Source organism: Homo sapiens, chromosome 1 (assembly GCF_000001405.40).
Source record: "Homo sapiens chromosome 1, GRCh38.p14 Primary Assembly".
Lineage (NCBI taxonomy): Eukaryota > Metazoa > Chordata > Mammalia > Primates > Hominidae > Homo > Homo sapiens.
Window position 1 is genome coordinate 26,977,827 of NC_000001.11, and position 15,769 is coordinate 26,993,595.

Below are 15,769 nucleotides of genomic sequence, written 5' to 3' on the forward strand. Positions count from 1 at the left end.
TGTTGGAAATGGAACTCTCTTCCTGTGGCTCTATCCCTTCTCATTCCGTCAGCACAGAGTGTTGTGTTCCTGCTTTAGGTGCTGACTGCATTCCACAAATGAGCCAAATTCTCTTCTGCAAAGTCTTTGCACTTTCTGTTCCTTCCCTCTGGGTTGCTCCTTCATGGCACTCCCTGGACTGGCTCCCTTGCATCCTTCAGAATTTATTGGCTCACTTAACTAAAAAGTCCAAGGGTAGAACTACCTTCAGATACTCCTGGCATCAGGTGCTCAGGTGATTTTACCACTCATCTGGTTTCTCTGTTTCTGTGCTCTCCTGCCAGGCAGGCGCGTCCTCAGGCAGGCACTTTTCTTGTGATGGCAAGATGGCTGCCTGCATCTCCATGTTTATAATCTATTTGGTCAAAAATTCTCAAGTGGCCGGGTGTGGTGGCTCACGCCTGTAATCCCAGCACTTTGGGAGGCTGAGGTGGGTGGATCATGAGGTCAGGAGCTCAAGACCAGCCTGGCCAAGATGGTGAAACCCCGTCTGTACTAAAAATATAAAAGTTATCCGGGCATGGTGGCGGGCGCCTGTCATCCTAGCTATTCAGGAGGATGAGGCAGGGAGTTGCTTGAACTCCATCTCAAAAAAAAAAAAAAATTCTCAAATAAAGAGTTTCTCTTTCTCAACAGTTTCAGCAAACATCCCAGTATTGAGTTTCATTGGCCAGGCCAGGGTCACAAGCCCATTCCTAAAGATGGGCCCATTCCTAAAGACAAAAAACATGCACTGAGGCCGGGTGCGGTGGCTCATGCCTGTAATCCCAGCACTTTGGGAGGCCGAGGCAGGCAGATCACCTGAGGTCAGGAGTTCGAGACCAGCCTGACCAACATGGAGAAACCCTGTCTCTACTAAAAATACAAAATTAGTCGGGCGCGGTGGTACATGCCTGTAATCCCAGCTACTCGGGAGGCTGAGGCAGGAGAATCACTTGAACCTAGGAGGTGGAGGTTGAGGTGAGCCGAGATTGTGCACTCCAGCCTGGGCAACAAGAGCAAAACTCTGTCTCAAAAAAAAAACCAAAAAAAAAACCCAACAAACATGCACTGAGCAGGTAGGAGAGATGGTTCCCCACAAAATATAAAGTCACTGTTACCAAAAGTAGGACAAATGGATGCTTGGAGGGCAAAAGCCACAGCTGCCTACTCCATCATCCTCGACTTCCCTTTCTACTGTAGGTTTCCTTGGTTATTCCCTACACTTCACTGTTCACTTCCTTCATAGCGCATATGACCTTATTTGTGTAGACTCTATGGCCTTCCTCTCTTGCCCTGGCTTGAGAGTGCTCAGAGGGAAGGGTTCTTGCCTGTCTTGATCACTGCTACATCCCCAGCACTTGGAGCAGTGTCTGCACACAGTAAGTGCTTAATAAAGGCTTGTGGCAGGAATGAACTTGCTGGAGAGCCAGGCTCTCATGCTTTCTTTTTCCTTTCAACTTCTTTTATTATTATGATTATTTTTTTTTTGGAGAAGGGGGTCTTGCTCTGTCACCCTGCTAAAAGGCAGTGGCACCATCATAGCCCACTACAGTCCCAACCTCCCAGGCTCAAGCAATCCTCCTCCCTCAGCCTCCCTAATAGCTGGGGCTACAGGAGCGTGCCACCACACCCAGCTAATTAAAAAAAAAAAAATTTCTTTTGGCCAGGCACGGTGATTCATGCCTGTAACCCCAGCACTTTGGGAGGCCGAGGCAGTGGATCACCTGAGGTCAAGAGTTCGAGACCAGCCTGGCTAACATGGTGAAACCCTGTTTCTACTAAAAATACAAAAAATTAGCCTGGCGTGGTGGCACGCGCCTGTAATCCCAGCTACTTGGGAGGCTGAGGCAGGATAATCACTTGAACTGGGGAGGCAAAGGTTGCAGTGAGCTGAGATCACGCCATTCTCCATCTCAAAAAAAAAAAAAAATTGTAGAGGCCGGGCACAGTGGCTCACACCTGTAATCCCAGCACTTTGGGAGGCCAAGGCAGGCAGATTACTTGAGATCCAGAGTTCTAGACCAGCCTGGCCAACATGGTGAAACCCCGTCTCTACAAAAATACAAAAATTAGCCGGGCATGGCAGCATGCACCTATAATCCCAGGTGCTCAGGAGGCTGAGGCGGAATCACTTGAACCCAGGAGGCAGAGATTGCAGGGAGCCAAGATTTCGCCACTGCATCCCAGCCTGGGCAGCAAAGTGAGACGTCGTCTCAAAAAAAAAAAAAAAATTCTCCTTTCGGCTCAGAGGAGGCCAAGGTGCAACTTTCTTTGGTCGTCCCAAATCCGGGTTCATCCGACACCAGCCGCCTCCCCAGTGCCATGGAAGTTTGACCCCAACGAGATCAAAGTCATATACCTGAGGTGCACCAGGAGTGAAGTTGGTGCCACTTCTGCGCTGGCCCCCAAGATCGGCCCCCTGGGTCTGTCTCCCAAAAAGGTTGGTGATGACATTGCCAAGGCAACGGGTGACTGGAAGGGCCTGAGGATTACAGTGAAACTGACCAGTCAGAACAGACAGGCCCAGATTGAGGTGGTGCCTTCTGCCTCTGACCTGATCATCAAAGCCCTCAAGGAACCACCAAGAGACAGAAAAAAACAGAAAAATATTAAACATAGTGGGAATATCACGTTTGATGAAATCTTCAACATTGCTTGACAGATGCAGCACCAATCTTTTTTTTTTTTTTTTTTGAGACGGAGTCTCACTCTGTCGCCCAGGCTGGATTGCAGTAGCACGATCTCCCGTTCACTGCAAGCTCTGCCTCCTGGGTTCACGCCATTCTCCTGCCTCAGCCTCCCGAGTAGCTGGGACTACAGGCACCTGCCACCACGCCCGGCTAATTTTTTATATTTTTAGTAGAGATGGGGTTTCACCGTGTTAGCCAGGATGGTCTCGATCTCCTGAACTCGTGATCCACCCGCCTCGGCCTCCCAAAGTGCTGGGATTACAGGCGTGAGCCACCGCCCCTGGCCCGCAGCACCAATCCTTAGCTAGAGAGTTCCCTGGAACCATTAAAGAGATCTCGGGGACTGCCCAGTCTGTGGGCTGCAATGTTGATGGCCACCACCCTCATGACATCATAGATGACATCAACAGTGGTGCTGTGGAATGCCCAGCTAGTTAAGAAGCACAAAGGAAAATATTTTAATAAAGGATCATTTGACAACTGGTGAAAAAAAATTATTTTTGTAGAGATAGGGTCTCACTTTGTTGCCCAGGCTAGTCTGGAATTCTGGGCTCGAGCAATCCTCCTGCCTTGGCCTCCCAAAGTATGGGGATTACAGGTGTGAGCCACTGCTCCTGGGCCCAAAAATTCTTGACCTTGATTTCTCAGCCCGATCTGCTGTTTCTTGGTTTTCCCCATTTCAGACAAGGGTACCCTAATCCACCCTGCTGCTTCATCCACAAAGCCAGAGGGCATTCTCTCATCCCCACACTAATCCATGTATAAGTCCTTTCGTTCACCTCCAAATAAAACTCAAACCCATCCCCCATCCCAGCCCTTGCCAGCACGCCTGGCACCATTCCCTCTCAGCTGGGATTATGGCAGTAATCTGCTAACTGGTCTCCTTCATTCCCTTCTTGCTCCCTTTTAGTCCATTCATTTTACACAGCAAACAGCATGATCTTTTAAAAACAAATCAGATCATGTTGATCCCCAACTTAAACCATTTAAAGGCTTCCCCTGCAATTAGAGTAAAATCTGAAATCCTCACCCTGGCCTTCAGGCCCAAGCTGTGTCTCTACCTTAGTCCTCCTCACCTTCCTGCTGGCTCACCAGGCACTGCACACACTGATTTTTCTGCCTCAGGGCCTTTGCACTTCCTATTTCTTCTGCTGTGAAATCTCACTCCCCAATTCCACATGCCTGGTTCCTGCTCATCTTTCAGGTCTCAGCTTAAATGTCACTAAAGGAGAACACTTAATACCTCCCTGACTCCCTTTTCTATCATGTCACTAGCTTATTCCTTGATCATGATTTCTAGGGAAGAACTCTGGAGGCACACTACCGGGGTGTTGAATCCTATTTCCACTGCTCCTTGACTATGTGACCTTAGCTATTCGCCTCTCTGTCCTTCAGTTTCCTCATCTGCAAAATATAGTACCCTGTAGGATCAGTACCTGGCATAGAGGAAGCATTAAGTAAATATTTTAATTAAAAAACAAATTTTGGGCCAGGCGCGGTGGCTCACACCTGTAATCCCAGCACTTTGGGAGGCCGAGGCGGGCGGATCACAAGGTCAGGAGATCGAGACCACGGTGAAACCCTGTCTCTACAAAAAATACAAAAAATTAGCTGGGCGTGGTGGCGGGCGCCTGTAGTCCCAGCTACTCGGGAGGCTGAGGCAGGAGAATGACGCGAACCCGGGAGGTGGAGCTTGCAGTGAGCTGAGATTGCGCCACTGCACTCCAGCCTGGGCGACAGAGCGAGACTCCGTCTCAAAAAATAAATAAATAAATAAATAAATAAATAAATAAATAAATAAATAAAAATAAAAAATAAAAAATAAATTTTAGGCCAGGCATCATGGCTCATGCCTGTAAAAAAATTTTTTTTAGAGACAGGGTCTCTGTCATCCAGGCTGGAGTGGAGTGGTGCAATCATAGCTCACTGCAGCCTCAAAATCCTGGGCTCAAGCGATCCTCCCATCTCAGCCACCTGAGTAGCTGGGGCTACAGGAACACACCACCATGCCTGGCTAATGTTTTTATTTTTATTTTTGTAGACATGGGGTCTTGCTTTGTTGCAACTTGAACTCTTGGCTTCAAGCGATCCTCCTGCCTCAGCTTCCCAAAGTGCTAAGATTATAGGTGTGAGCCAACCATGCCTGGCCTTAAATATTTTTAAAATATTTATTTATTTATTTAGAGATAGGGTCTCACTCTGTCACCCAGGTTGGAGTACAGTGGTGCAATCATAGTTCACTGCAGCCTCAAACTCCTGGGCTCAAGCAATCCTGCCTCAGACTCCCGAGTAGTTAGGACTATAGGTGTGAGTCACTGTGCCCAGCCATAAATATTAGAAGGTATTTTATTATTCCCTCATGGTACATTTCTTGGGATTTAACTATTTTGATTTATGATATGTAAGCTTTGTGGAAACAGGGATTGCATTGCACCTCTTGTATTTACTGCTGTGCCTCTAGCACCTTGCACAGTGGCTGGTGCATAGTAGGTGCTTAATGACATTGAATGAATGCATGAAAACAAATGTGACCTCAGCCCTTATGGAACTGACATTGCCCCTACTTGCCCTTCAAGGTATGGCTATTTTAGAGGTGTGAAAACTGAGTCCCTAAAGGTGGGGCAATTTGGCTGGGTGCGGTGGCTCACGCCTGTAATTACTTTGGGAGGCCAAAGCGGGTGGATCACTTGAGGTCTGGAGTTCGAGACCAGCGTGGCCAACAGGGTGAAACCCCGTCTCTACTTAAAAAAAAAAAAAATACAAAAATTAGCCAGGCGTGGTGGCAGGCACCTGTAATCCTAGCTACTCGGGAGGCTGAGGCAGAGAATCGATTGAACCGGGGAGTTGGAGGTTGCAGTGAGCCGAGATCGCACCACTGCACTCCAGCCTGGGCGACAGAGTGAGACTTTGTCTCAAATAAAAAAGAAAAAAAAAAAAAAAAGGAGGGGTGATTTGAGTAATGCTTCAAGGGAGAGAAGGTATAATTTCTACTTATCAGAAACGTGATAAGTTTCTCTTCCTCGGGGCTGTCTACAGAAGTGGGAGCCATCTTCTCAGCAGCATGGTCACCCTCACACCCCTCAGGAAGCCAAGATCATCAAAAAGAGGACCAAGAAGTTCATGTGGCATCGTGAACAGTCTGATGGATGGAGCAGACTGTTAAGTGAAAATTAAGTGTAACTGACAGAAACCTAGTGTTATTGGCAGTAGGGTACAGAGAAGATTCAAGGGCCAAATCTTGATGCCCAGCATTGGGCATAGGCAGAACAAGAAAACCAGGCACATGCTGCCCTGTGGGTTCTGGAAGTTCCTGGTCCACAATGTCAAGGAGCTGGAAGTGCTGCTGATGTGCAGCAAATCTTACTGTGCTGAGACTGCTCGCAATGTTTCCTCCAAGAACCACAAAACCTGAGTGGAAAGAGCAGCATAACTAGCCCCCAGAGTCTCCAACCCCAATTCCAGGCTGCACAGCAAAGAAAATGAATAGACGGCTCACGTGCATGCATGCCTGATTCATGTTTAAATAAAACCACGAAAACTGCAAAAAAAAAAGTAACACCAAAAATGTGATGAAGCATCAAAAGCATGTGGAACCTGCTACCGCCACTGTGAACACAAGTCATAGCCTTTTATTCTAGGAATAATAACTAGGGCAAAGCTTTCTTCACAAGAGAAATCAAACACAGAGAAATCTGGGCTCCCTGTATAGAGCAGCAGCATAGATGGATTGTAGTGCTGTTGACTGAGATGACATTGACACGGCAGTTGTGCCTTCCTGAGGAAGACATCCAGTCCCCTATCCAAGTAATTGGCACCCACACCAACATTTTGTTCATGTCTTATTTAGGAATCCAGAGGCCTCATTTCAAAAAAAATTTTTTCGAAACAGGGTCTTACTGTGTTGCCCAGGCTGGAGAGCAGTGGCACAATCTCGGCTCACTGCAGCCTCGACCTCCTGAGCTCAAGCGATCCTCCCACCTCAGCCTCCTGAGTAGCTGGGGCTACAGCCATGTGCAACCATGCCCAGCTAATTCTTAAATGTTTTTGTAGAGACGGGGTCTCCCTATGTTACCCACGCTGACCTCAAATTCCTGGGCTTAAGTGATTTTCCTGCTGCAGCCTCCCAAAGTGCTGAGATTACAAGCACGAGCCACCGCGCCCGGCTTCCAGAGGCCTCATTTTACAAATGCAGGAACAGAGTCAGAGAGGTGAAGGAGAGTGCTCAGGTCCACACAGTGAATTAAGCCCAAGTCTTCTGGCTTCTAGGAAAGATTTCTTTATTCTTTTCTTTTCTTTTTGAGATGGAGTCTTGCTCTGTCACCCAGGCTGGAGTGCAGTGGCACAGTCTTGATCTCAGCTCACGACAACCTCTGCCTTCCGGGTTCAAGCGTTTCTCCTGCCTCAGCCTCCCGAGTAGCTGGGACTCTAGGCGTGTGCCACCATGCCCAGCTAATTTTTGTATTTTTAGTAGAGATAGGGTTTTACCGTGTTGGTCAGGCTGGTCTCGAACTCCTGACCTTGTGATCTGCCTGCCTTGGCTTCCCAAAGTGCTGGTATTACAGGTGTGAGCCACCACGCCCAGTGGAAAGATTTCCCTAAGCCCTAATTGATATAAAAGCTTTTTGTTTGTTTGTTTGTTTGTTTGAGACAGAGTCTCACTCTGTCACCCAGGCTGGAGTGCAGTGGTGCGATCTCGGCTCACTACAACCTCCACCTCCCGGGTTCAAGTGATTCTCCTGCCTCAGCCTCTCGAGTAGCTGGGATTACAGTGTGCACCCTTGCACCCAGCTTTTTTGTTTTTAATTAGAAAAAGTATTTGTTTCTGCTCCTTTCATACATCTTATTGTTCAGGAAAGTCTTACATACAATTCTGAAATAATCTACCATCACACACTCTAGTTAAAGTGAAGCACCATAGATAAAGCTGATCAGCTGTCCAGAGTTCTCAGTTTATGTAATCTTGCTTCTTGATTTTATGTTAATTTCTGAAAATCAGAAATGTCATCTCTAAAAAATGGTAAGGGGGTTGTAAAAAATAATCACTTTACTTGATATTATAGTTGAGATATAGAGTATATTTTCTTTAAGAAATGAAAAACTAAGAAGAAAATGCCACTCAACATCGTTGGTACAGCAATAGGTCAGCAGGAAAAAAAAATACTGTGATAAACTTGTCTCTTTAATACCAAGAAGAAATTCTAATCCAAGCTTCAATATGCTTCCTGTTTTTTCACTAGAAGTTTCTTTTACTGCTGCTCTTCATTCTTTTCCACATTTCATATTAGAGGATTGGTACAGCCTTTAAAACTTCATTGACAAGAAAAAATCCAGTATCCACTGATTTCTTCTCAAAGGCACTCTAACCCATCAGATAGCTCGGCAGTTTCATTCTCATGAATACTCTAGCCATGAAAATACTCAATAGAACACAGACAAATCCAATGAATAGAAGAAGAAATCTATTGAGTTTTGGGATATTTGGTGCATTCAATTGGTCCAGGATTATGAAACCTAAACCTCCCATTGTAAACAGGAAGCTGGATGCAAGTCCTTCCATAATATATTGTCCATTTACTCTATAGGCAAAGAAAGCTACTGGCCTCTGATGCCCATGTTCATCAGTCATAGAGCCAACACTTGGAGGTTCAACAATAACATCATAAATGATTCCTCCGGTAATGAGGAAGACACCACCACCAGAGCATACAGTCATGGCCGACAGCATGTGCAGCCAGGGCGGCTTCTTCAGCTTCAGGTTAGGACATTCAAGCACTAAGAACAGGACATGGTACAAAATCTCCATGTTGGTTGCATAAAGGCAAAAGCTCTTTATTTTATTTTATTTATTTATTTATTTATTTATTTATTTATTATTATTTTGGAGACGGAGTTTCACTCTGTCATCCAGGCTGGAGTGCAGTGGTGCAATCTCAGCTCACCGCAATCTCCGCCTCCCAGGTTCAAGAGATTCTCCTGCCTCAGCTTCCCAAGTAGCTGGGACTACAGGCATGCACCACCATGCCCGGCTAATTTTTGTATTTTTAGTAGAGATGGGGTTTCACCACATTGACCAGGCTGATCTTGAACTCCTGATCTCAGGTGATCCACCTGCCTCGCCCTCCCAAAGTGCTGGGATTACAGGTGTGAGCCACCGTGCCTGACCCATATAAAAGCTCTTGATATAACAATGGAGAGAAAGGAGCAAGGAGGAGAAGAAGAATGAGGAAGCATTGAATCAGGTGTTCACTGGCAGGCAGGAACACTGACAGGTGTGTAGGGCAACCAGAGACCTTGTGGGGAGGGCAGGGGAGTCTGTTAAGGAAAGGGAAGGTGGAGGCTGGGGCCTGACTGGGTTATTTTCGGAGCTGCTATCTTTGTCTGCATCTGCTAAATTATTAAACTGAGATCACTTCCTAGAGGGTGCCAGGCCAGGTTGCCAGGGAGAGGCTGAAAGGGAGAGGTTGGATCTCTTAGCAGAGGACTCAAATATTCTAGGCTGGGATGGACATATACTCCTCAGGCCTTGACCCCTTCCCCACCCCACTCTCAGCTAATGGAGGGGATTGGGGATCCTGCTTGGGGCCACAGCCACAGTCACTGTCCCCTCCACAAGGCTGTCTCTTCTGGCTGCTGTCCTGGAGGCAATAGATACATACTGGACCAGACTCTGGAACCTGGTCCCATCTCAGCTGCCTCTTCTCTTTCAGGGTCTCAAACTCAGGCCACAGGTTTTGAGTCAGATAGATACGACCAGATATGACCATAGATATGTGAGATCTTGGGCATATCCTTGCATGAGTCAATGTCCTTGTCTATGCCATAGATATTAGCCGTTCCACTTCTCAGATGAAAACCCTGACGTTCAGAGAACAAAGGTGCCTCTCTCAGGGTTGCATAGCTAGAAAAGGACTGAACTTCGATTCAAACATAAGTCTTTCTGATTTCAGGCTCCTTTCCTCTATTCTTTCTTTTTTAAATTTTTTTGAGATGGAGTTTCGCTCTTGTTGCCCAGGCTGGAGTGCAATGATGTGATTTCGGCTCACTGCAACCTCTCCCTCCTGGGTTCAAGAAATTCTGCCTCAGCCTCCCAAGTAGTTGAGATTACAGGCGTGCGCCACCACACCTGGCTAATTTTGTATTTTTAGTACAGATGGTGTTTCACCATGTTGGTCAGGCTGGTTTTGACCTCCTGACCTCAAGTGATCCACCTGCTTCGGCCTCCCAAAGTGCTGGGATTACAGGCGTGAGCCACCACGCCCAGGCTTTTTCTTTTCTTCTTCTTCTTGTTTTCTTTCTTTTTTTTTTTTTAAAGATACAGGGTCGGCTGGGTGAATACTAAGAATACAAAAATTAGCCAGGTGTCGTGGCGGGCGCCTGTAATCCCAGCTGCTCAGGAGGCTGAGGCAGGAGAATTGCTTGAACCTGGGAGGCGGAGGTTGCAGTGAGTTGAGATCGCACCATTGCACTCCAGCCTGGGTGACACAGTGAGACTCCATCTCAAAAAAAAAAAAAAAAAAAAGAGAGAGAGAGGGTCTTTCTGTGTCTCCCAGGCCAGAGTACAGTGGTGCAGACGCTGCTCACTGCAGCCTCAAACTCCTGGGCTCAAGGGGTCCTCCTGCCTCAGCCTCCCATGTAGCTACAGGCGTGCACCACCAAATCTGGCTAATTTTTTAAATTTTTCATAGAGACAGAGAGTCTTGCTATGTTGCCCAGGCTGGTCTCAAACTCCTGGACTGAAGCAATCCTCCCATCTTGGCCTCCCAAAGTACAGGATTATAGGCACGAACCACTGTGCTTGGCCTATTATTTTTATTTTTTGAGATGAGGTCTTGCTCTGTCACCCAGGCTGGAGTGCAGTGGCAAGAGACAGCTCACTGCAGCCTCGACTTCCTGGGCTCAAGCGATCCTCCCACCTCAACCTCCTGAATAGCTGGGACTACAGGCATGCACCACCATGCCCAGGTAATTTATTTTTATTTTTCATAGAGATGAGGTCTCACCATATTGCCCAGGCTGGTCTTGAACTCCTAGTTGCTCAAGTGATCCTCCTGCCTCAGTCTCCCAAAGTGCTGGGATTACAGGCATAAGCCACCTTGCCTGACAGCCTATTCTTTTTCAGTATTTTAGTATTTTATCTGTCTTCCAGATTTTCTACAAAAGGAATGTACTCTATAACTTTTATAAAGATCAGAAAAACACAATAATCATTACAGTTATGGATGGATTTCTTCATTCCAGGTGTTGTGTTTGCTGGGCTGGATGTGCACTAATAGGTGGTAGACTGTGGCTCCTATCCACTCCGAGAGTGTGGTGCTCAGGCCAGTTAAGAAAGCTGACAAGAAGCTGGGCACAGTGGCTGACGCCTGTAATCCCAGCACTTTGGGAGGCAGAGGCGGGCGGATCGCTGGAGGTTGGGAGTTCGAGACCAGCCTGATCAACCTGGAGAAACCCTGTCTGTACTAAAAATACAAAATTAGCCAGGCGTGGTGGCTCATGCCTGTAATCCCAGCTATGCGGGAGGCTGAGGCAGGAGAATCGCTTGAATCTGGGAGGCGGACGTTGTAATGAGCTGAGATTGCACCACTGCCCTCCAGCCTGGGCAACAAGAGCAAGACTCCGTCTCAGAAAAAATAAATAAATAAATAAATAAATAAATAAAATAAAAAAGAATAAATGAATGAATGGAGAAGGGAACTCTCCATTCTCAGCAAGCTCTACCCTTGTGTTTTCTTTTCTTTCTTTCTTTCTTTTTTTTGAGACGGAGTCTCTCTCTGTTGCCCAGACTGGAGTGCAGTGGCGCAATCTCAGCTCATTGCAACCTCTCCCTCCTGGGTGCAAGCAATTCTCTGTCTCAGCCTCCCCAGTAGCTGGGATTACAGGTACCCGCCACCATGCCCGGGTAACTTTTTTGTATTTTTAGTAGAGATGTTTCACCATCTTGGCCAGGCTGATCTTGAACTCCTGACCTCGTGATCCACCCGCCTCTGCCTCCCAAAGTGCTGGGAATACAGAAGTGAGCCACCGCACCCGGCCTACCCTTGTGTTATTTTTATTTTTCTTCCTTCCTTCCTTCCTTCTTTCCTACCTTCTCTCTCTCTCTCTCTCTTTCCTTCCTTCCTTCCTTCCTTCCTTCCTTCCTTCCTTCCTTCTTTCTTTCTTTCTTCTTTTAATGGAGTCTTGCTCTGTTGCCCAAACTGGAGTGCAGTGGTGTGATCTTGGTTCACTGCAATCTCCGCCTCCTGGGTTCAAGTGATTCTGCTTCAGCCTCCCGAGTAGCTGGAATTATGGGCATGCACCACTACACCCGGTTAATTTTTCTTTTCTTTTCTTTTCTTTTCTCTTCTCTTCTCCTCTTCTCTCCTCTCTCTCTCTCTCTCTCTCTCTCTCTCTGTCTCCCCCCACCCCCGTCTCTCTCTCTCTCTCTCTTTCTTTTTTTTTTTGATATGGTGTCTTGCTCCTGTTGCCGAGGCTGGAGTGCAGTAGCGCAATCTCAGCTCACTGCAACCTCTGCCTCCCAGGTTCAAGCAATTCTCCTGCCTCAGCCTCCTGAGTAGCTGGGATTACAGATGTGCACCACCACGCCTGGCTAATTTTTGTATTTGTATTTGTATTTATTTATTTATTTATTGAGATGGAGTCTCGCTCTGTCGCCAGGCTGGAGTGCAGTGCCATGATCTCAGCTCACTACAACCTCCGCCTCCCGGGTTCAAGCGATTCTCCTGCCTCAGCCTCCTGAGAAGTCAGGACTACAGGCTTGCCCCACCACGCCCAGCTAATTTTTTGTATTTTTAGTAGAGGTGGGGTTTCATCATGTTGGCCAGGATGGTCTTGATCTCTTGGCCTCATCATCCACCCACCTCGGCCTCCCAAAGTGCTAGGATTACAGGTGTGAGCCACCGTCCCTGGCCATATTTTTGTATTTTTAGTAGAGATGGGGTTTCACCACATTGGCCAGGCTGGTCTTGAACTCCTGATCTCAGGTGATCCATCTGCCTCAGCCTCCCAAAGTGCTGGGATTACAGGCGTGAGCCACTGTGCACGGCCTAAATTTTTCAATTCAGACAAATGTTTATTGAGTGCTTTATGGGGCCAGGCACTCTGCTTGACTTCAGGGGATTCTAGTGATAAGCAAAACCAGTCAAGGGGGAGAGACTATTAATAATTAAACAATAAACAAATACATACATATGACTCATAGGAAATACCACAGAGGATAGCAACAGGGAGCATTGTCAGAGAACAGGGAGGTAAGGAGTGACCACGGAGTGGGTCATATCTGTGTTTGAATTCTTGCTTGGCCATTTACCTGCTGTGTGAACTTGGGCAAGCCTCTTCACTTCTCTGGACTTTGGTTTCTCATCAGGAAGAGACGGCTATCAATCTCCCTTTCTTAGGGATGATATCACGAGACAGAGAACATTCATTCCTTCAATAAATATATACTGTGCATCTTCTCCCACTCAGATAAATTACTTGCCCAAGGTCACCCAGATGGGCAGTGTGTGTTGGTTTTCAACCCGGGTCTGACTGGTTCTCTGGATCTGGCCAGTGGTTGGGGGTGGAGATAAGTCCTAGTCTTCTTCCCCTGAATCAGTCCTTGAGGAGTTGGGAGCAGTGATCTGCCTCATGAAGGCAAAACACCTGTCCATCTCCCCACCACCATGGCAATGAGGGGCTTCTGCCCTGAGAAAGACCTATGATTGCATGACACAAAAGAGACTGTTCAAAGGGACACCATCATTCAGCAGGGCAAGCCTCCTTGCTGGGGGCAACCTGGTAGCTCCTGAGCCTCCCTCATCTTCACTGAGCCCCTCCAACTCTCTGAGTTCCCATGCCCCTCACTGAACCTCCCTTCCCCCATGGCGAGCCTCCGCCAGCACCTTTGCACACACTCAGCCCCTTCCCCCTACTGAGCCCCAGCACAGTCACTGAACAGCTCTTCTTCCCCTCTGACTGAGTCATCCTCCCAAGCCCTCCCCTTCCCCTCACTGAGTCTCCACCACCCCTGGTCACTGGGCACCCTGCTTCTGACCTCCTCCCTCCCCCAACCCCTCCACCCTTCCTCTTCACTGAGCCTGGCGCCTCTCACCCACCCGCCTTCCTCTCCCAGCCGCTTCTGAGCTGCCTCTTTGGAGCCCAACTGTCTCGCCCACGAGTCCCCATCACTCAGTCTCACTCACTCTAAGACACCTGAAAGCAGTTAGAGAACATGTGTTCATGGGGGGAGGATGAGGCTCTATCATCATCCTGCACATCATGCAAGCACGCCATCTGCCTCCTCTTCAGGCTTCAGCAGTCACACTGGCCATACCTTCCGCAGGTCCTCCTGAGCCCAGGGTCTGCTGCAGTCCTTCCCAATCGGGTTCAGAGCTGGTTTCTGGACCCCTGGCCCTTGCCCCCACCCACCACAGAGACCTCCCATCTCTGATGCCACCTTCAAGTAGATGGAAACTGAGGCAGGCCCATGGTGTCTGAGCCAGTGTTTGGTATGGCAGGGTCATTTCTGTTGGGGGAAAAGTGGGCAGGGTTCCATTCTATCATTTTGTCAGGGCCAGATGAGAAGTGTCAGATAAAGTCCCACATAAAGAACGTCCCTCCACCAAGAGGACTAGACCCAGGTATCTGAGCCCCCAGAGGGCATGAATGGCTGAGCTCGTGCATTTCTGTCCAGATTCAAAAATCTGGATTCAGCCACCAGTCGTCAATAAGACATTGGGCAAAGCACTACTGCCCTTCAGGGTCTCAGTTTCCCCTTCTTTATTTTTTATTTTTATTTATTTTTTGAGACTGAGTCTTGCTCTGTCGCCCAGGCTGGAGTACAGTGGCACAATCTCTGCTCACTGCAACCTCTGCCTCCCGAATTCAAGCGATTCTCCTCCCTCAGCCTGCTGAGTAGCTGGAACTACAGAGGTGCGCCACCACACCTGGCTAATTTTTTTGTATTTTCAGTAGAGACAGGGGTTTCACCATGTTGGCCAGGCTGGTCTAGAACTCCTGACCTTAGGTGATCCACCCACCTCGGGCTCGCAAAGTGGTGGCGGAGCCACCGCGCCCCGCCAGTCAGTTCCCCGCCCCCGCACACCCCCCTTCCCCCTTCCCGCCCCCGGCTTTTTTTTTTTTTTTTTTTTGAGACGGAGTCTTGCTCTGTCGCCCAGGCTGGAGTTCAATGGCGCGATCTTGGCTCACTGTAGCCTCCGCCTCCCAGGTTCAAGCGATTCTCCTGCCTCAGCCTACCGAGTAGTTGGGATTACAGGCGCCTACCACGACGACCGGCTAATTTTTTTCTATTTTTAGTAAAGATGGGGTTTCGCCATGTTGCTCAGGCTGGTCTTGAACTCCTGGCCTCAGGTGATCCGACCGCCTTGACCTCCCAAAGTGCTGGGATTACAGGCGTGAGCCACCGCGCCCGGCCAGTTTCCCCCTCTTTAAAATGTGTAGGAACACCGGCTGGGAGGAGTAAACACGAGCCGGGGCAGGGAAAGAACTTTGCACACCGTGGGGTCCGGGGCTCCTCTGTGATGCCACCAAGGTTTGCAGGCTCAGCGGCAGCGCTGAGGTATTTGTTCTGCGAATAAAGCGCTCTACCTATCGTGGAATCAGTCCAGCTAGATCCCCGTCCCACCAGGACGGCAGTCGCCCCTCTGCGTTAACCCTTCCACTGCCCTAGTGAGGTGGGAAAGGGGGTCCTTGAGAGCCCTATGGCCCAGGAGAGACCGGGCAGAACTGATTCGGCCAAGGGCAGCATGAGGTGTGGGAGGAGCACGGCACAAGGAGTCAAGCCTCCTGCGTTCTAGCCCAGGCTCTCTTCGCACAGAGGCCTTAGGCAAGACCCTCCCCCGGATGGAGACCGGATTCCGTGAATTTCTAAACACCAGCTACCAGAGCTTATGACTCTGAGGGGCCAAACCAGGGAAGATGAGGCTCCCTTTGCACCCAAAATTTGGGGAGAGGCGAAAGGGGACCGGATGCCCTAGCGGAGCAGAATCCGGCGAAGGGCAGGACCTGAAGGGTTTGGGGAATGCCCTGAATGTGCAGAGCGCGGGGGGGGGGGGGGGGGG

General features: G+C 48.6%; 1 protein-coding gene and 2 pseudogenes across 1 annotated transcript, besides 4 other annotated features; 2 read left to right on the forward strand and 1 right to left on the reverse strand.

Moving 5' to 3' along the window:
* RPL12P13 (ribosomal protein L12 pseudogene 13) lies at positions 2,254-3,197 on the forward strand (annotated as a pseudogene).
* On the forward strand, positions 5,769-6,253 carry RPL32P6 (ribosomal protein L32 pseudogene 6; annotated as a pseudogene).
* OSTCP2 (oligosaccharyltransferase complex subunit pseudogene 2) lies at positions 7,931-8,517 on the reverse strand. The gene has a single exon (XM_047437145.1). It carries the CDS (start codon positions 8,512-8,514, stop codon positions 8,071-8,073), a length of 444 nt encoding a protein of 147 aa, XP_047293101.1. The 5' UTR covers positions 8,515-8,517; the 3' UTR covers positions 7,931-8,070.
* Positions 12,852-13,146: an enhancer, noted in NCBI's record as "tiled region #6295; HepG2 Activating non-DNase unmatched - State 5:Enh". NCBI's record gives its function as "activates a minimal TATA promoter and a strong SV40 promoter by Sharpr-MPRA in HepG2 cells {active_cell/tissue: HepG2}" and the evidence as "EXISTENCE:reporter gene assay evidence [ECO:0000049][PMID:27701403]".
* Positions 14,724-15,225: an enhancer, noted in NCBI's record as "H3K4me1 hESC enhancer chr1:27319041-27319542 (GRCh37/hg19 assembly coordinates)". NCBI's record gives its function as "activates a minimal SCP1, AML or CMV promoter by ChIP-STARR-seq in naive H9 embryonic stem cells {active_cell/tissue: H9 hESC(naive)}" and the evidence as "EXISTENCE:reporter gene assay evidence [ECO:0000049][PMID:30033119]".
* Positions 15,226-15,725: an enhancer, noted in NCBI's record as "H3K4me1 hESC enhancer chr1:27319543-27320042 (GRCh37/hg19 assembly coordinates)". NCBI's record gives its function as "activates a minimal SCP1, AML or CMV promoter by ChIP-STARR-seq in naive H9 embryonic stem cells {active_cell/tissue: H9 hESC(naive)}" and the evidence as "EXISTENCE:reporter gene assay evidence [ECO:0000049][PMID:30033119]".
* Positions 15,479-15,638: an enhancer, noted in NCBI's record as "active region_532". NCBI's record gives its function as "activates an Ori minimal core promoter by ATAC-STARR-seq in GM12878 lymphoblastoid cells {active_cell/tissue: GM12878}" and the evidence as "EXISTENCE:reporter gene assay evidence [ECO:0000049][PMID:35858748]".

Coding starts and splice junctions, on each gene's coding strand:
- OSTCP2 (XM_047437145.1), bottom strand. CDS start 8,514: ATGGAGATTTTGTACCATGTCCTGTTCTTAGTGCTTGAATGTCCTAAC.